The sequence below is a fragment of the Homo sapiens genome, chromosome 4, assembly GCF_000001405.40.
Source record: "Homo sapiens chromosome 4, GRCh38.p14 Primary Assembly".
Taxonomy (NCBI): domain Eukaryota; kingdom Metazoa; phylum Chordata; class Mammalia; order Primates; family Hominidae; genus Homo; species Homo sapiens.
In genome coordinates, this window is record NC_000004.12 from 165,096,852 (window position 1) to 165,116,259 (window position 19,408).

The 19,408-nt window shown below is 45.4% G+C and overlaps 1 protein-coding gene across 2 annotated transcripts in view, besides 4 other annotated features; it reads right to left on the bottom strand.

The window, feature by feature from the left end:
• TMEM192 (transmembrane protein 192) overlaps positions 1–16,009 on the bottom strand; it is a 42,253-nt gene extending 26,244 nt beyond the window's left edge. For both annotated transcript variants that reach the window (XM_011531718.4, NM_001100389.2), the window contains exons 1-3: positions 15,896–16,009; positions 6,099–6,245; positions 3,777–4,041 (exon numbers count right to left, since the gene is read on the bottom strand). In XM_011531718.4, the coding sequence (XP_011530020.1) occupies positions 3,777–4,041; positions 6,099–6,245; positions 15,896–15,922 (439 nt within the window). In that variant the 5' untranslated portion in view covers positions 15,923–16,009. The remainder of the gene's footprint in view (positions 1–3,776; positions 4,042–6,098; positions 6,246–15,895) is intronic.
• Positions 15,285–15,524: an enhancer, noted in NCBI's record as "active region_22115". NCBI's record gives its function as "activates an Ori minimal core promoter by ATAC-STARR-seq in GM12878 lymphoblastoid cells {active_cell/tissue: GM12878}" and the evidence as "EXISTENCE:reporter gene assay evidence [ECO:0000049][PMID:35858748]".
• Positions 15,555–15,814: a silencer, noted in NCBI's record as "silent region_15782". NCBI's record gives its function as "represses an Ori minimal core promoter by ATAC-STARR-seq in GM12878 lymphoblastoid cells {active_cell/tissue: GM12878}" and the evidence as "EXISTENCE:reporter gene assay evidence [ECO:0000049][PMID:35858748]".
• Positions 15,983–16,181: a silencer, noted in NCBI's record as "fragment chr4:166033986-166034184 (GRCh37/hg19 assembly coordinates)". NCBI's record gives its function as "represses an EF-1alpha promoter that drives an FKBP-Casp9 reporter gene in an ReSE screen in both phorbol 12-myristate 13-acetate-treated (for megakaryocytic differentiation) and untreated K562 erythroleukemia cells {active_cell/tissue: K562 | K562(+PMA)}" and the evidence as "EXISTENCE:reporter gene assay evidence [ECO:0000049][PMID:32094911]".
• Positions 16,305–16,364: an enhancer, noted in NCBI's record as "active region_22116". NCBI's record gives its function as "activates an Ori minimal core promoter by ATAC-STARR-seq in GM12878 lymphoblastoid cells {active_cell/tissue: GM12878}" and the evidence as "EXISTENCE:reporter gene assay evidence [ECO:0000049][PMID:35858748]".

Below are 19,408 nucleotides of genomic sequence, written 5' to 3' on the forward strand. Positions count from 1 at the left end.
CTCCTTGTGAGCTTCCAAAATACTATTTCCAGACCATCACTTGAGAAACTGAGTATTATTTTGGTCACAGATCATATAAGATCTTTTGTAGTTTAAAATTAAGTTTTTTCTTTTTTTTTAATCTTTGTGTTACCCTGACATCTTCTGGCCAAAAGAGAGAGCTGCACATCAACAGTTGAACATTCTCAAGCTCATTCTCACAAGAGGCAGGGAGCAATAAATGCTTCCCCTTCAAGAGCAGTCAGGATCACCCAACTCTATAAACTGCTTCACGCTGATATAGCATAGCCCTTCAGCTTCCACTGAGAATTTCACTGAGTAGATGAACTTGCAGCATGCCCTTTAAGAAAATGCACTAACAGGCCGGGCGCGGTGGCTCATGCCTGTAATCCCAGCACTTTGGGAGGCCGAGGCCGGCGGATCACAAGGTCAGGAGATCGAGACCATCCTGGCTAACACGGTGAAACCCCGTCTCTACTAAAAATACAAAAAATTAGCCAGGCGTGGTGGCGGGCGAATGCAGTCCCAGCTACTCGGGAGGCTGAGGCAGGAGAATGGCCTGAACCCGGGAGGCGGAGCTTGCAGTGAGCCGAGATAGCGCCACTGCACTCCAGCCTGGGTGACAGAGCGAGACTCCATCTCAAAAAAAAAAAAAAAAAGAAAAAAGAAAATGCACTAACAGAACAGAAGAAAAATAAAAGTTAAATTCTGTGGAGCCTTTTTTTTTTTTTTTTGGAGAAAAAAATCTCTAATTTGATCCAATTTTTTTTTCTTTTTTTATAGAGGGGGGTGTCACTCTTTCACCTAGGCTGGAGTGTGGTGCATAATCATAGCTCACTGCAGCCTCAAACTCCTGGGCTCAAGTGGATCCTCCCACCTCAGCCTCCCAAGTAGCTAGGACTACAGGCACAGGCTACCACACATGACTAATTTATTTATTTTATTTTATTTTACTTATTTATTTATTTATTTTGAAATAGAGATTTATTTATTTATTTAGAGATCGAGTCTCACTCTGTCACCCAGGTTGGAGTGGCACGATCTCAGCTTACTGCAATCTTGATCTCCCGGGTTCAAGCGATTCTCAGCCTCCTGAGTAGCTGGAATTACAGCCACCTGCCATCACACCCAGCTAATTTTTGTATTTTTAGTAGAGATGGGGTTTCATCATGTTGACCAGGCTGGTCTCAAACTCCTGACCTCAAGTGATCCTCCCGCCTCAGCCTACCAAAGTGCTGAGATGCTAGCATTACAGGCATGAGCCACCGTGCCCGGCCTTAATTTTTTTTTTAGACAGAGTTTCGCTCTTGTCACCCAGGCTGCAGTGCAATGGTATGATTGCAGCTCACTGCAACCTCTGCCTCCCGGATTCAAGCAATTCTCCTGCCTCAGCCTCCCGAGTAGCTGGGATTACAGTTGCCCGCCACCACGTTCAGCTAATTTTTGTATTTTTAGTAGAGACAGGGTTTCACCATGTTGGCCAGGCTGGTCTCGAACTCCTGACCTCAGGGAATCTACCCGCCTCGGCCTCCCAAAGTGCTGGGATTATAGGCGTGAGCCACCACGCCCAGGAATTTCTTTTTTTTTTTAAAACTTAACTTGGTGCTCATTTGTTACAGCACTAAATTTCTCATTTTTGGTAGAGATGGGGGAACTCACTATGTTGCCCAGGCTGGTCTCGAACTCCTGGCCTCAAGCAATCCTCCTACCTTGGCCTCCCAAAGCTCTGTGATTATAGGCATGAGCCACCATGCCCAGCCTGGATTCAAAAAAAATTTTTTTTTCTTTTTCCTTCTTTTTCTTTTTCTCGCTGCCTCCTCCAAGTAGGAAGACTACATATGGATTCAAGTTTTTTTTTCTTTTGAGGCAGTGTTCCGCTCTTGTTGCCCAGGCTGGAGTGCAGCGGCATGACTTCGGCTCACTGTAACCTCTGCCTCCCAGGTTCAAGCGATTCTCCTGCCTCAGCCTCCCAAGTAGCTGGGACTACAGGCGCGTGCCACCACACCCGGCTAATTTTCGTTTGTATTTTTAGTAGAGATGAGGTTTCACCATGTTGGCCAGGCTGGTCTCGAACTCCTGACGTCAGGTGATCCTTCCGCTTCGGCCTCCCAAAGTGCTGGGATTACAGGCATGAGCCACCGAGCCTGGCCTGGATTCAAAAATTTTTAAGATTTATTCTGGACTCAAATTGAAAAACAGGATCTTTTTAAAAGGTAGAAACTAAGTTATTTACTACAACTTTTTTTCTTTCTTTTTTTTTTTTTTTTTTTTGAGATGGGGTCTCACTCTGTCACCCAGGCTGGAGTCTGGAGTGCAGTGGCATGATCTCGGCTCAAGCAATTCTCCCACCTCAGCTTCCAGAGTAGCTGGGACCACAGGGGCACACCACCACACTTGGCTAATTTTTGTGTTTTTAGTAGAGAGGGGTTTCTCCATGTTGCCCAGGCTGGTCTCAAACTCCTGACCTCAAGGGATCTGCCCACCTCAGCCTCCCAAAGTGCTGGGATTACAGGCATGAGCTACTGTGCCCGGCCATTTACTATAACTTAATGCCAAATTTACCTAAAGAAGTTCAATTTAATTCCATTAAATCTTTAAAATGTCTGCAACGATAAAGAAAAGCAAGTACTCATGCATTCTAAGTCTCATGTGGACCTTCTGATCTTGCCTTCATAAATTAGGACCTGTGTGTTTTCCAAGTTTTCTGTTTGATATAATGCATCTCACTGCCTAACAGTCCTCTATCCTAGGAACTAACCATTACTGTCTCCTACTGCAAGAAAAGCACTGAGCTTCATTTTTAAAAAGTTCCCACCAGGACTGGCTCACACCTGTAATCCTAGAGCTTTGGGAGCCTGAGGCAGGAGGGTTGTTTGAGGCCAGGAGTTCCAGTGACCAACCTGGGCAACATGGTGAGAACCTGCTTCTACATAAAATGTTTAAAAAAATTAGCCGGGTGTGGTGGCATGCACCTGTAGTCTCAGCTACTCAGGAGGCTGAGGTGGGAGGATTGCTTAAGCCCAGGAATTCCAGGCTACAGTGAGCCATGAAGGCCCCACTGCCTTTCAGTCTTGGGTGACAGAGCAAGGCCCTGCCTCAGAGAAAATAAAATAAAATTTAAAAATTCCCTCTCCCTATCCTCAGAAATGTCAAATAGCAACAGCATTTCTATCTTTATGAGATGAGTAAACCACCTGGTAACAAAAGAGGGTATAATTCCACACTTCACACATGCTATGAGGACACCATGTTCATAACAAATAACAGATTTCAAATGAAAATTAAGGCTATATATTTCATAATAAAAGTTCTTTTTTTTTTTTTTTTGAGATGGAGTCTCGCTGTGTTGCCAGGCTGGAGTGCAGTGGCACAGTCTCAGCTCACTGCAACCTCTGACTCCCTGGTTCAAGCAATTCTCCTGCCTCAGCCTCCTGAGTAGCTGGGATTACAGGCATGCACCACCACGCCCAGCTAATTTTTGTATTTTTAGTAGAGACGGGGTTTCACCATGTTGGCCAGGATGGTCTCGATCTCCTGACCTCGTGATCTGCCCACCTCAGCATTCCAAAGTGCTGGGATTATAGGCGTGAGCCACCGCACCCGGCCAAGAAAAGCTTTAAGACATTAAGGTGATCCAAATTTTAGTGGTCAGAACACACATCAACCTTACAAAAATGAGAGAATATATTTGATTCTAAAATCAAACTTCATATATTCTTTCTGCTGTCATTTTTGTCCCTCAAGCACCCAAGTAGCTGAGAGAAAATTGGACATACCAGAGGACTGTATCATCAACGCAAGTCTCTTGAGATGCCTTGTTGATCGGTAGATCAAGTTATAGCCTCGGTTTCTGATTTTGCTGTGGTGATACTGGATGTAGCATTCAAGGAGTAAATGGAGAATCCACAAAATAACTTTCCCAAGGATTATAACCGTCTGAACTTTCAATGGGTTTGTGTAATTTCCTGGGCACTTGTCCTCATTTGGATTAGGATAAGAACAAAGCACACCTGTTAAAAATGCTAAAACAACAAACACGAGCTGGGGGAAAGGAGAGCAGAAAGATTAATATTCAATATTTGTAATTAGGAAGCAATAACTACCATCCCAGCATACATTCTTTTTTTTTTTTTTTTTTTTTCTGAGACAGAGTCTCACTCTGTCGCCCAGGCTGGAGTGCAGTGGCGCAATCTCGGCTTACTGCAAGCTCCACCTCCCGGGTTCACGCCATTCTCCTGCCTCAGCCTCCCGAGTAGCTGGGACTACAGGCACCCGCCACCACGCCTGGCTAACTTTTTGCATTTTTAGTAGAGACGGGGTTTCACCATGTTAGCCAGGATGATATCGATCTCCTGACCTCATGATCCACCCACCTCAGCCTCCCAAAGTGCTGGAATTACAGGTGTGAGCCACCGCACCCGGCTTCCCAGCATACATTCTTATACCTACAGCTTCCCCTGTCCTATTTTTATAAATGAGTTTTTAAATGTATTTTCGTTTTGTTTTGTTTAAATGTATTTTTGTTTTCTGTGTGAGATACGGTCTTGCCCTGTTGCCCAGGCTGGAGTGCAGTGGTGCCATCTCTGCTCACTGCAGCCTCAACCTCCTGGGCTCAAGCGATCCTCCTACCTCAGTCTCTGGAGTAGCTGGAACTACAGGCCTGTGCCACCATGCCTGGCCAATTTTAAGAAGTTTTTATAGAGACAGGTTCTTGCTATGGCACCCAGGCTGGTACAGAGTATGTTACACAAAAAGTAAAAGGAAAGAAGAAAAAGAGGTCACCATCTGGAAACCACAAGGCCACCCCTGCACATGGTGGTACCAAGAAGAAAGCGCTTCAGCTGGGATCTGGGGATCAGGAAGCCATGGTGGAGCCATACCACAGCTACTAGTTCCCTCAAGGAAAGGGGATACCACCTCTCTCCCCAGTGATTCAGTTCTGAACTCAAGTCTCCCACAGTGCACTTCACTGGAGAGGAATCCCAGCTGCAGGGGAAGCCAGGAAATGTGCTGAGGGATACGGTCCCTGCAGACAGGCAAACCTATCAGTAGGAGGCTGAGCAGAGGCTGAGCAAGTCAATCAACTCCATTCACAGTCCTCGTAAATACTCAAGGAGTGGTGAGAATGAGCCCTCTTGATTTTTCACATTGCAGCAGAGAACAACTATAACCCCTAGTGCTTCCAACTGCAATCGTCGAAAGGGAGGAACTGATTAAACAGACTGGCAGTGGAGTCACCACCAGTGAGGCCTGCGATAAGACCTTTTGCACATGTGTTTTTATAAACTCCAGATAGTTGTAATTTTGTCATCATACAAAAATTGTACATATTATTCCACTGCAACTTGATTTGTCTGCTAAACATTATTCCCTAGGTATAAGTAAATTGATAAATTCCTGTGTCAACATATGTAGACTTTTCTGCATCTTTTTTGTAACTGAAAAAGTAATACAAGCACATGGTTAAAAAATCAAGTAGTATTCAAAAGTAAACAGTAAATTATATTAGTGTCTCTTCCACCAAGACCCTCAGTCCTCATTTCAGAGGCAACTAGGTCTGTGAATGCTTCTAGAAATATTCTATTATATACAGGAAAACAGGTCCACAACAGCCCTCTCAACTCCCTTTTAAAAACTGCAGATAGGAACATTCTGTACACAAGGTTGAAAACTTGATTTTTTTTCACTCGACAATGTAATCATGAAGGCTATTCTATGTTAATATACTGTATACCTATCCACCCCATTCTTAACAGTTGCATAGCATTTCCTTATATGAATGGGACACACAGTGTCTTCTGGATGCCAAGTAGCCAGGTAGTTTGTAGTCTCTTGATATGACAGACAACATGGCTATTATCAACAATATCTTTACATGTGTGCAAATATATCCACAATGAATTATTTGAAGATATAAGTAAAAGTGTACGTACTTTTTTTTTTTTTTTTTTGCCCATGACACAGCACTCAGGATGTCCTAAGAACATGTGCCCTACATTTTAAATGTTGATAGATACAGCACAACTGCCCTCTGAAACACTTATATAATTTTTACAAACATCACCTCTGGATAGGTCCCCTTCTTGCAGCCAACTTACATGAATAAACCACAGAAGATTCACTATGATGACTGTAGGAAGAGGATGGAATCGGGGTCTAAAGTGAGCTTGTAATGAGTGGTGTGGGAGAAGCTGGGCATCCAGAAGTGGGTCGTCTTCAATACTCTGGGTGATATCCAAGGAACCCTGGGGTGCAGAAAAACAAGCAACCTATAATCACCACTTTCTAGATTATGTTTCTAAGACAAATCTACTAAACTACAGAGCTTTTTAACCACATACAAATTAAAGGCAAGAGAACACATTGCCTACCTGAATCCAATTTTTTAAAAATTAATTATTAATTTAATTTAATTAATTAAAAAATTAATTAATTTTTTAAAAACTGTAGCAACACGGTCTCACTATGTTGCCCAGGCTGGTCTTGTTTGTTTGTGTTTTGTTTTTTGTTTTTGAGACAGTCTCGCTCTGTTGCCCAGGCTGGAGTGCAGCGGCGCAATCTTGGCTCACTGCAACCTCTGCCTCCCAGGTTCGAGCAATTCTCCTGCCTCAGCCTCCTGAGTAGCTGGGACTACAGGTGTGCACCACCACACCCAGCTAATTTTTTTTTTTTTTTTTTTTGAGATAGAGTTTCACTCTTGTTGCCCAGGCTGGAGTGCACTGGCACAACCTTGGCTCGCCGAAACCTCCACCTCCCGGGTTCCAGCAATTCTCCTGCCTCAGCCTCCTGGGGTAGCTGGGATTACAGGCATGCACCACCACACCCGGCTAATTTTTTATTTTTAATTTTTAGTAGAGATGGGGTTTCTCTATGTTGGTCAGGCTGGTCGCGAACTCCTGACCTCAGGTGATCCGCCTGCCTCGGCCTCCCAAAGTGCTGGGATTACAGGCATGAGCCACCGTGCCCGGCACACATCCAGCTAATTTTTGTATTTTCAGTAGAGGGAGGGTTTCACTGTGTTGGCCATGCTGGTCTCAAACTCCTGACCTCAGGTGATCTACCCACCTCGGCCTCCCAAAGTGGTGGGATTACAGGCATTAGCCACAGTGCCCGGCCCCAGGCTAGTCTTGAACTCTTGGCCGCAAGCTGCAATTCCAGCTACTCGGGAGGCTGAGGCAGGAGAATCACTTGGACCCAGGAGGTGGAGGTTGCAGTGAGCCGAGATTGCGCCACTGCACTCCAGCCTGGGCGACAGAGAGACTTCGTCTCAAAAATATGGATATATACTGCATTGTATATACTTTTAATTTGCTAAGAGTGTAGATCTTAAGTGTTCTCATCACATGTTAAAAAAAAGAAAAAAAGAATATGGTTCATGGGAAGCACATAACAAATCAGCAAATGAAAAGCATAGAAGACAATGCCAAAAAATTTAGGTCAGCTAACTGCACTACAATGAGACAGAAATGAAGGATTCATGAATAGGTTTTGGCTACACAGAATGAGAGCTCTTTATTTTGGAAGTAGGTAGTAGGACAAATGATGTAAGAGATGGCTGTTGATTGCTAAGATTACAAAGATAAGGACAGTAATCTAGGGTGTAACCTAGCTCTGGAGTGGGCTCCTCAATTTCCAGTAGCAGGTATTCAACACTGCTCTGCAACTGTTTTTGTTGTTTTGTTTGTTTGTTTGTTTTTGAGATGGAATCTCGCTCTGTCGCCGAGGCTGGAGTGCAGTGGCTCAATCTCGGCTCATTGCAACTTCTGCCCCCTGGGTTCAATCGATTCTCCTGTCTCAGCCTCCTGAGTAGCTAGGATTAAAGGCACGCGCCACTATGCCCGGCTAATTTTTGTATTTTTAGTAGAGATGGGGTTTCGCCATGTTAGCCAAACTGGTCTCAAACTCCCAACCCCAGGTGATCCGCCTGCCTCAGCCTCCCAAAGTGCTGGGATTACAGGCATGAGCCACCGCGCCTGGCCAAGTCTTTTATTCAATGCCTAGATTGCTTCCTGTTTAGTTTACCATAACTCATGGTACAATTCAGATTACTCCTGTTCTCTTCAAGACCCCTCTGCCTCTAGCTCATTCTCAGTCAGCAGATGTTGGAGCCTTGAGATCTGCTCTTCCCTTAGCTAATGTCTGTGCATTCTTTCATGCTCAGAAGGGGCAATTCCCACCACAGGGCCTTTCTGGATACCCCTAATCTGGATTGTGCCACCCTCCATGTTTTTCAAAGCATTCTGTGCTTGCCTCTTCTATCAAACTATCCTGTGATGGTCTCTTACTTATCTCTTCTCCACTAGACGTCATTGGACCCATTACCTTTACACCTCTTGTCTTTGTAATCCCAGCACTCAACACTATCTCATGGTTGTCACTCAGCAAACATTTGCTAGATGAATGAATGAGTGCCCCAAACCTGTTTCTGCAGTATTTTCTAATTCAATTATGGGCATCATCAAAGACCTGGGCTAATTAGAAGAGATTATCAGGACATACGGGGGATCAACTGTGACCAAAGGCAGTAAGAGCTGTGGTTAAGGTCAGGCTCCTAAGGGCAAACTGCCTGGATTCAAGCACAAGTTTTACCGCTTTCTAGCTGAGAGCAAGTTACTTCATCTCTCATGCCTCAGTTTCCACATCTAAAAAGGAGACTAATAATAGCACCTGCTTCGTAGCTCTGTCAGGAATACTAAATGAGTCACTACACATGCAAGTCCTCATGACACTGCCTGACGCACAGAGAGCACTCAATAAGTATTAGCCACTATTATTTCTTTATTAACTCTTTTCTCTTTTTAATATTTTTTAAATTTTAAAATAAAAATCAACAGGGTCTCGCTATGTTGGCCAGGTTGGTCTTGAACTCTTAGCCTCAAGCAATCCTCCCAAGTGCACTCCCAGTGTGCTAGGATTACAGGTGTGAGCCACCACACTTGGCCTTTTTATTAACTCTTACTTTTGACTTGCACCCCGCTATGGTCTAAATGTTGGTGTCCCCCAATAGTTCCCTGCTTTCCTTTGGGAAGTAATTAAGCCATGAGGGTTCCCCCCCTCATAAATGAGATCAGTGCCCTTATAAAAGAGGCTTGAATGAGCTCCCTTCCACCTTCCACTGCGTGAGGATGCAGCAAGAAGGCGCCATCTTTGAAGCAGAGAGCAACCCCTCCCCAGGGCTCTTGGCACCTTGATCTTGGGCTTCCTGAATCCGTGGCTGCCTTAATCTTGGACTTCCTGTCCTCTAGAACTGTGGTCAATACATTTCTATTTGTAAATTACCCTATTTGTATTTTACTATAGCAACCCAAACAAAGACACTACCCCTATAATCATTACCATTCTATCCACTCAGTGCTGGGGCATGATAAAAAGAGAAAAAATCATTACCATTCTAACTCCTAAACCTGTTATTTCCTCTCTATTCTCACTATCTTAGTCCAGGCCCTCCCATTTCTCATGGCCTTTTATTAGAAGCTTCCAGTCTTCTGGTCTTGGCAATCTCTTTCACTGCTCCAAGACAAACATTCGTGTTTCTCTCCTCAAAAACTTTGGGTAGCTCCCTATGATGGTCAATATTAAGTGTCAAATGGATGGCAAAGTATCGTCTGTGAGGAGCCAAACATTTGAGTCAGTGGACTGGGAGAGGAAGACCCACCCTCAATATGGGCAAGCACCATCCAATCAGCTGCCAATGCAGCTAGAACAAAGCACAGAATAGGCGTATAAGCAGCTTGCTGAGTTTTCTGGCTCTCTCTTTCCTGCGTCAGATGCTTGCCTCCTTAATTCCTGCCTTTGGACATCAGACTCCAGATTCTTCGGCCTTTGGACTCTGAAACCTGCACCAGCAGCTTGCCTGGGGCTCTCAGGCCTTCGGCTGCCGACTGAAGGCTGCGCTGTTGGCTTCCCTGGTTTTGAGGCTTTTGAACTTGGACTGAGCCACTACCACCTTCCCTTTCCCCAGCTTGCAGGTGGCCTATCATGGGACTTCACTGTGTAATCTTGTGAGCTAATTCTCCCTAATAAACCCCCTTTTTATATATACATATATCCTATTGGTTCTGTCCCTCTGGATAATCCTAATACGATCCCCAAATCCTCAGGACAAAGTCCAAATTCTTAGTCTATCGCTTTACAATCTGTCCCCAAGTAACTTCTCAGGATTTTTTTTCTCTCTTTTTTTTTTCTTTTTTTGAGACAGAGTCTTGCTCTGTCCCCCAGGCTGGAGTGCAATGGCATGATCTCAGCTCACTGCAACCTCTGCTTCCTGGGTTCAAACAATTCTCCTGCCTCAGCCTCCCAAGTAGCTGGAATTACAAGTGCCCGACACCTTGTCCAGCTAGTTTTTGTATTTTTAATAGAGACGGGGTTTCACCATGTTGGCCATGCTGGTCTCAAACTCCTGACCTCAAGTGGTCCACCCTCAGCCTCCCAAAGTGCTGGGATTACAGGTGTGAACCACTGTACCCAACCTTTTTTTTTAAAACAAAAACAAAAACAAAAAAAAAAACAGGGTCTCACTCTGTCACCCAGGCTGGAGAACAGTGGCACGATCTCGGCTCACTGCAGCCTCCGTGCCCCCCTCCCCAGGCTCAAGAAATCCTCCTACCTCAGTCTCACGAGTAGCTGGGACCAGAGGCACACTCCACTATGCTTGGCTAATTTTTGTATTTTTAGTAAAGGTGAGATTTCACCATGTTGCCCAGGCTGGTCTTGAACTCCAAAACTCAAGCAATCCACCCACCTTGGCCTCCCAAAGTGCTGGGATTACAGGCATAAGCCACCACGCCTGGCCAAGGATTTGCCTCTCACCATTTCCCTCCCTCCTGGTGCCGTCTGCTTATGATACCCGTCTTTCATGAAACACTTTCCATCTCTACACCAGCTCTACTTATTCTTCCCCACCTGTCAAATGCTTGTCCCAGCAAAACCGCCTTCTCTGCGGTGCCTTTTTAGCATTCCCAGCCCCAGCATCATTCCTACTGCACTCTTAATCTGACATTGTAGTTTTCATCTGTACAAGTTTGAGCTGGGTCTACTTTGTATCTTCCATGTCTCTATGTAACTTCTAAATATATAGAAGACATTTATAATAATGTTTAATGTTCACATGCTATTTCTAGCCTATGTCATGTCTGAATCAGTTTCAGTGGACTCAGTACAGCTCACATTTTCCTGCCTCTTAGCATGCCTTGTCATTTTTTATTGGATGCCAGATATTGCAAATTTTACCTCTGTGGGTGCTGGGTATTTTCTGTATTCCCTTTTTTTTTTTTTTTTTTTTTTTTTTTGGAGATGTAGTCTTGCTCTGTCACCCAGGTTGGAGTGCAGTGGCATGATCTCGGCTCACTGCAAGCTCTGCCTCCTGCGTTCACACCATTCTCCTGCCTCAGCCTCCCAAGTAGCTGGGATACAGGCACCCAGCACCACGCCCGGCTAATTTTTTGTACTTTTAGTAGAGACAGGGTTCCACCATGTTAACCAGGATGGTCTCGATCTCCTGACCTCGTGATCCGCTCGCCTCAGCCTCTCAAAGTGCCGGGATTACAGGCATGAGCCACCGCACCCGGCCATTTTCTGTAATCCTATATTCGTGAACTTTGTTCTGGAGTGCAGTCAAGTTACTTGGAAACAGTCTTGCTGTTAAGAAATTAGGTGGGCTTCATCTAAGGCTAATCTAAGGCCTCCACTACTGAGGCAAGACCTTTCTGAGTACTCTACCTACATGCTCTGTGAATTATGAGGGTTCCGTCTGGCTTGTGGGTGAAATAGGCAGTATTCTTGGCCCTGTATGGAGAAACTGTTCCTTCCAATCCTTTTAGGTGGTTCTTTATGAGGCCTCCAAGAGCTTCCTCATGCCCTGATTAGCACTCTACTGGATGCCTGGTAGGCGCAGGGCCAGGGGGCTCCCCGTGCATATCTTCAGAGTTCTCCCTCTTTGTAGCTCTCTCCTCTCTGGGTGCTCTGTCTTGTGAACTCCAGTTACCTCGATCTCCTAGACCCTCAACTCCATCTCCTCAACTCAGAAGTCTGCTGGGCTCTGCCTGGCTTCCCCCTTCCCTGTCACAGCCTGCACACTCTTTCAAGGCAGTAAGCCGGAGCAGTGATAGGGTTCACAGCATTTGTTTCCCATCTCTGAGATTGCTACCCTTCATTGTCTGATGTCCGGTATCTCACAAAGTGTTGTATCATACGTTATATCTAGCTTTTTGGTTGTTTCAGGCAGAATGGTATATCTATTCCCAGTTACTCCATGTTGGCTGGGAATGGAAGTCCCTACTGAACTCTCTTACATCTGTATCTGTATCATAACCTACCATACTAAGCACATGGCATTGAAATTGTCAGAATAAAATGTGCTTTACAAGGGCAGAGACTCTTTTATATTATGTCCTTTGTGCTTTTAACACTTGATACACAGCAGATGCTAAGGTGTTCAATATGCGTGTTGAGAGAAAGAAAGACTGCTCAACTTCTTGTATGCTTCAGACCTGGGAAATTTTTATTTATTTATTTATTTATTTACTTTTGAGACAGAATTTCGCTCTTGTTGCCCAGATTGGAGTGCAATGGTGTGATCTTGGCTCACTGCAACCTCTGCCTCCCAGGTTCAAGCAATTCTCCTGCCTCAGCCTCCTGACCACAGGCTGGGATTACAGGCATGTGCCACCATGCCCAGGTAATTTTTATATTTTTAGTAGATACCGGGTTTCGCCATGTTGGCCAGGCTGGTCTCAAACTTCTGACCTCAGGTGATCCACCCGCCTCAGCCTCCCAAAGTGCTGGGATTACAGGCGTGAGCCACCGCACCTGGCCAGACCTGGGACATTTAAACAAAGCTAGCATTGAAAACTTCACTATAAGACAATAATCTACTTTATCTCCTAATATGTCACTTTCATGCACCTTCTTCTCTCGCCTAAATGAGCTTTCTATAGAGCCCTACAAATATCCTCCCTTACCTTTTTCAGAATTCTATGCATCTTTCAAGGTCCTAACCAAGTTTATGTTCTCTATAAAACTGGCCTTGTTAAGTGTTTTCCTTCTGCTTTAAAATCCTATAAAACTTATTGCCCATAATATTCATTTGGAATATTTCTTATGCTGCCTTGTATTGTTTTCCTTTTCATGGGTGTATCTTTTGTTTTTCCTAACTACACTGAAGGAGTTGGGGACTATAATATGGTTCTTCTCTATGTCACTCAGGAGTATTTACTTTCCATTGAATCCTATAGGAAATATGCAGTGTAACCATACAAACAGCACCCAGTCATTCTATTAACTCACCATCTGCAAGTGAAGGGTGAGGGGAAGAGGACTCCTGAATCCAAATGATTTTTTCATTTCCATTATTAACTACATTACCACCTGTAGAAGATGTCTGTTGTTTTTGCCCACATGGTATCTCTTCTCTCTTCTGTGACAATAACTCTATTTCCTTTGAGGACCCACTGTCTACTTCTGCATTAAGTCTTAGTGGAACCATCCTTCAATACCCTTCCTCCTCCTCTGCTCTAGGAGTGGTCATGGAACAAAAAACAGTTGGGTGAATCCAACTCTTTCCATGAGCAGTAAAAGAAAGATCATGAGGCCGGGCACGGTGGCTCACGCCTGTAATCCCAACACTTTGGGAGGCCAAGGCAGATGGATCACCTGAGACCAGCCTGACCAAAATGGAGAAATCCCGTCTCTACTAAAAATACAAAATTAGCCAGGTGTGGTGGTGCATGCCTGTAATCCCAGCTATTTGGGAGGCTGAGGCAGAAGAATCACTTGAACCCGGGAGGCGGAGGTTGCAGTGAGCCGAGATCGTACCATTGCACTCCAACCTGGGCAACAAGGGTGAAACTCCATCACAAAAAAAGAAGAAAGATCATGATTTAGGCAGATTCATTCCAGGGTAGACCCTGAAAGGACTCCTGTCACTTCAATGCCTTGAGATGCCCTTGTTTGGGTCCTTTCAGAGGCCTTGGCATATACTCACCCTATAGCCTTTCGAATACATCCTTTTCTTAAATTAGCCACAGTTGGTTTCACTGCCTGCAAACAATGAATCCCTACTAACACAAAGTCTTTGACTCAACTCATTTAAGTGTCTGTAACTAAGGCATGGTCCAAAATTTTTAGCTTTTTCTTGAAGGCTAGGAATCATGTTTACAAAATACCAAAAGCAGGCAACTTACTCAGATCTAAAGTGACTCCAATATGTGGTTGGTAGCAAAACATTAATCTCTAATTAATTTTTATTTATTTTTATTTTTGAGACAGAGTCTCGCTCTGTCGCTCTGTTGCCCCGGCTGGAGTGCAGTGATGCGATCTTGGCTCACTGCAACCTCTGCCTTCCGGGTTCAAGCGATTCTCCTGCCTCCCCAGTATCTGGGATTACAGGCCCCCACCACCCCACCTGGCTAATTTTTGTATTTTTAGTGGAGACGGGGTTTTGCCATGTTGGCCAGGCTGGTCTCAAACTCCTGACCTCAGGTTATCTGCCTGCCTCGGCCTCCCAAAGTGCTGGGATTACAGGCATGAGCCTCCCAGACCATCCCCAGGCTCCAGTGTTTGAGGAAGCAGATTTCTAGTACTATATGCATCCTAAAGCTAAAAGCTACAGATCCAAGAACGCCAGAGCAGCTTAGCATCAACCAAGAAGCACTTACTGCATGTGTTTTTCTAAGACACTCTCATTTTCCTCTTACATATTCGGTTTTTTCTGTACATTGTCAGCTCATGAAGCTCAGCCTTAAAAACTCAGAAACAATGAATTTTGCTTTAAATATATATGAGTCTCAAATCTACTTACAGGTCTTACAGTTAATTTTCCATTTTCTCAACTGGAAAAAATAGAAAATTTTAGTTTCATTAGAAATTGTTTGGTCTTTATTTCATCAAGATTATTTAACTGGTTACTGCACAAGAATCTAAGCTACCGTAATGCTGGAACTGTTTCATGTTTCTCTTCCTTTTCCTGATGCAGTTCATTCAGTGATAGGATCACAGTAATATTCCTACTAATTTATTAACCCAAATTAGTGCTTTACAGTAACTGTCAACTTTGCATTTCTCAAGAGCAAAAATTTTATTACTTGCCAGTGGAAAATCCAGTTAACTCTCAGCATACATACATGTTTCTCCTAAAAACACCTTACGATACTGAAGCAAAGAAATAAGATTTTTGTAATTATGCTACCATTCTGTACTATACACGCTGTAAACTAGGCCACTGGTTTTTTGTTTTTTTGTTTTTGTTTTTGTTTTGGTAATCTGGTTTGAATCTATCAAAGATTTAAAAACCTTTGTATTCCTACCATGCTAGATTCAAAACAACACATGACACTTTTTCTCTCGTGTGGGTTTCCAGGCCATGATAGCGACAGGTCTGCGGGACGCTGGCGCCCGGCCCGAGCGTCGTTGTCACTCCAAGTCCACAGCCTCTAGAGCCAAGGCAAGGGACCTCACCAGGAAGGGAGATTCGCCCCCTGTGCCCCTGGGACGTCCGAGCGGAACCCATCGGCCCGGCTCCCGGAGACTCGCGGGGAGGAAGGGCTGTCAGGCCAGGCGCGCATCACGTGAAGCTGCCAGTTCCGGGATCAAAGACGTACCCCGCACGTGGGCTGGGCGCCAGCCTGGGACCCCCGGGGGCCGCGCGCCCACCGCCCAGGAGCCCACCCCAGCCTCCACTGGGAAAATTAGCCCGGAGCCAACGTGTCGCGGATCCCACAGCCGCCTGGAGCCCTCCCAAAGCCCCGCGCCCAGGCCTCCCCGGGCACAGGCGGCGCCCCCTTCGGCCGCGGCCGCAGTCGCCAAGGGTGGCTTCCCTCTCTGAGTCTCCGCCCCGTGCGCCCCGGCACAAGAAAAAGCGGATTCCGGGGCCAACCGCCCGCCGCCTCCGTGCACTCACGTCCTCCATCCTGCCCCCCGCCGCCATTTCCCGACGCCGGAGGCCGAAGCCCTGGCCAGCCCGGCCTCTCCACCTGGACCTGTAAGCCTCTGGCCGCGAAACTCGCCACCTTCTGGGACCTGCCAGGCCCCTCCCCAGACACACCCCCTCCTGCGTCCGCCCCGCCTCCGGCTGGCCCGATCCCCGCCCCCTTAGCTCCGATTGGCTGAGATGGTGGGAGGGGTGTGCCGGCCCAGAAGACCTGGACTGTGGGCGGTGGCTACCGCCTGAACCACCTCGGTTCCTGGGGCTTCTGGCCGCAGCCCCTCGGTGCGCTCTTACCCAGAGACTTGAGCATTTAAGGATGCCTTCCTAGTCCAAGAATTTAACTATTTTCGGGCTCCACTTGCATATTTTAAGAACATTAACTTTTTTCGGTCTTGCCTGGTTGTTTGCAGACACAGCTCTACGCCTAGGTAGAACCAGCGGTAAAATCCTACTCCGCCAGCAGAGGGACAGGAGCAGAATAAAGATTCCAATTTCCATGACATATTTACAGATTTCTCCAATGGGAAACAAAGCAGTTCGGAATGCTTACGGCGTTCGTTTATTAAGACAGAGTCTCGCTCTGTCGCCCACGCTGGAGTGCCCTAGCACGACCTCGGCTCACTGCAGCCTCGAATTCTTGGCCTCCTGGCCAGTTCTCCCACCTCAGCCTCTCAAAGTACTGAGATTACAGGCGTGAGCCACTGGGCCCTTGTTTCTTTTAAAATTGAATTTCAAAAAGAGAAAAAACTTCAATGACATTTTCTAAAAAGCTCATGATTGTAAAAATGTAAGCAAACAAGGAAAGAAATTTTCTGTTACCAGCTCCCGGAGAGAACTTTGATATCAGTTAGAATATATACACTCATACATTTTTTTGGTGGGGCGGCGGAGACGGAGTCTCGCTCTGTCGCCCAGGCTGGAATGCAGTGGTGCAATCTCGGCTCCCAGGTTCAAGCCATTCTCCTGCCTCAGCCCCCTGAGTAGCTAGGATTACAGGCGCGTGCCACCAAGCCTGGCTATTTTTGTATTTTAGTAGAGACAGGGTTTAGCCATGTTGGTCAGGCTGGTCTGGAACTCCTGAGGTCAGGTGACTCGCCCGCCTCGGCCTCCCAAAGTGCTGGGATTACAAGTTTAGCCACCGCGTCTTGCCCACTTTCATACATTCTAATGCTTATTTGTACATTGAGTATAGTGTGATCCAGTTTAGGATGTGTGAGATAAAACTACGCAAATGTTAGTGAAGGAAGAGATGGTGTAAGACTCCACGTGATCTTCTTTTTTCTTTTTCTTTTTTTTCTCGTAGAGACAAGGTCTCACTATGTTGCCCAGGCTGGTCTCATAATCCTGAGATTCTATGAATTATTTATCACAAGCCTTTTCTAGACGTGCAAATTTTCTTCTCTGCATTTTATTTTGAAAATTTTCAAGCCTACAGAAATGTTGAAAGATTAATACAATGAACATCCATGTACCCCTCACACTTGATTCATTAGTTGTTCATTTTTTGTCTTGGTTGCTCTGTGTGTGGGTGTGTGTGTTCACATACTTTTTTTTTTTTTTTTTTTTTTGAGATGGAGTCCCGCTCTGTCGCCAGGCTGGATGGAGTGCAGTGGCGCGATCTCGGCTCACTGCAAGCTCCGCGTCCCGGGTTCACGCCATTCTCCTGCCTCAGGCTCCCCAGGGTCTGGGACTACAGGCGCCCGCCACCACACCCAGCTAATTTTTGTATTTTTAGTAGAGACGGGGTTTCACTGTGTTAGCCAGGATGGTCTCGATCTCCTGACCTTGTGATCCGCCTGCCTTGGCCTCCCAAAGTGCTGGGATTACAGGTGTGAGCCACCGTGCCTGGCCATTTTTTAACTGAACTACTTGAAAGTAAATTGAAGACAATATGAAGCTTCATTCCTAGATACTTTGTTGCCTAAAATAAGGATATTTTATATTTTCTTTCATAACCACAATATCAATATTACACACAACTAATAGTAATTCCATGTTTACTAATAACCAATCTATGGCAAAAATTTTCTAAGTTGTTTCCAAAATGTCTTTTTTAGCTGCTTTTTTTGTTTTATTTTGTTTTGTTTTGTTTTTGAGATGGAGTCTTGCTATGTTGCCCAGGCTGGATTCACACTCCTGAGTTCAAGCAATCCTCCCACCTCAGCCTCCCAAGTAGCTTGGATAACAGGCATACACCACTGTGCCTGGCCCAGCTGCTGTTTTTTCTTTTTCAGTAACCAGAATCCAATCAAGGTTCACACATTTCATTTCATTATTATGTCAAGACATGCTTTTCTGTTGTTGTTTTCGACACAGGATCTCACTCTGTTAACCAGGCTGGAGCACAGGGGCGCTATCATAGCTCACTGCAGCCTCAACCTCCTGGGCTCAAACAATCCTCCCTCTTCAGCCTCCCAAGCATCTGGGACTATATGTTCACACATCCATACCAGGCTTATTTTTAAGATTTTTCTTTTTGTGAAGATGGGACTTTGTTATGTTGCCCACGCTGGTCTCAAAACTCCTGGTCTCAAGCCACCCTCCCGCCTCAGTCTCCCAAAGTACAGGGATTACAGGTGTGAGCCACTGCACCTAGCCAAGACATGTACTTTCACAGGGACAGCACACTGGTTAAGACCAGGGCTCCAGAATTAGTCATGGAGGTTTGAGTTCTGCATCTTACCAAGCATGTGATATTGGGCACTTAGCTTAAGTTCTTAGGAGCTGACTGGGCAAGGTGGCTCATGCCTATGGCCCCTAGCATGTTGAGACACCAAGGCAGGAGGATTGTTTGGTGCCTGGAGTACGGGACTAGCCTGGGCAACATGGTGAGTCTCTGTCTCTACAAAAGATTAGAACATTAGCTAGGTGTGGTGACGTGCACCTGTAGTAGCAGCTACTTTGGAGGCTGAGGTGGGGAAGTTTTAGTTTCCCTTTTACAGAAATTTTCTTTCCTTTTGTTTTGTTTTGTTTTGTTTTGAGATAGAGTTTCACTCTTGTCGCTCAGGCTGGTGTGCAATGGCGTGATCTTGGCTCAGTGCAACCTCTGCCTCCCAGATTCAAGTCATTCTCCTGCCTCAGCCTCCCAAGTAGCTGAGATTACAGGCGTCAGCCACCATGCCTGGCTAATTTTTGCATTTTTAGTAGAGACAGCGTTTCACCATGTTGGCCAGGCTGGTCTTGAACTCCTGACCTCAAGTGATCTGCCCACCTCAGCCTCCCAAAGTGCTGGGATTACAGGCGTGAGCCACTGTGCCCAGCCAGAGATTTTCTATTAAATAAAATAATGCATGTAATGCTCTTTATACAATGTTGTCTCTACAAAGCACTAAGCAAATGTTAGTCATTTTTTGTCTAAATCAGATTTATTAAGGCATTATTAACATACATAATCATTTTTGTTTGTTTTTTGTTTGTAAAGACAGAGTCTCACTATAGGCTGGTCTTGAACTCCTGGTCTCAAGTGATTCTTCTGCCTCGGCTTCC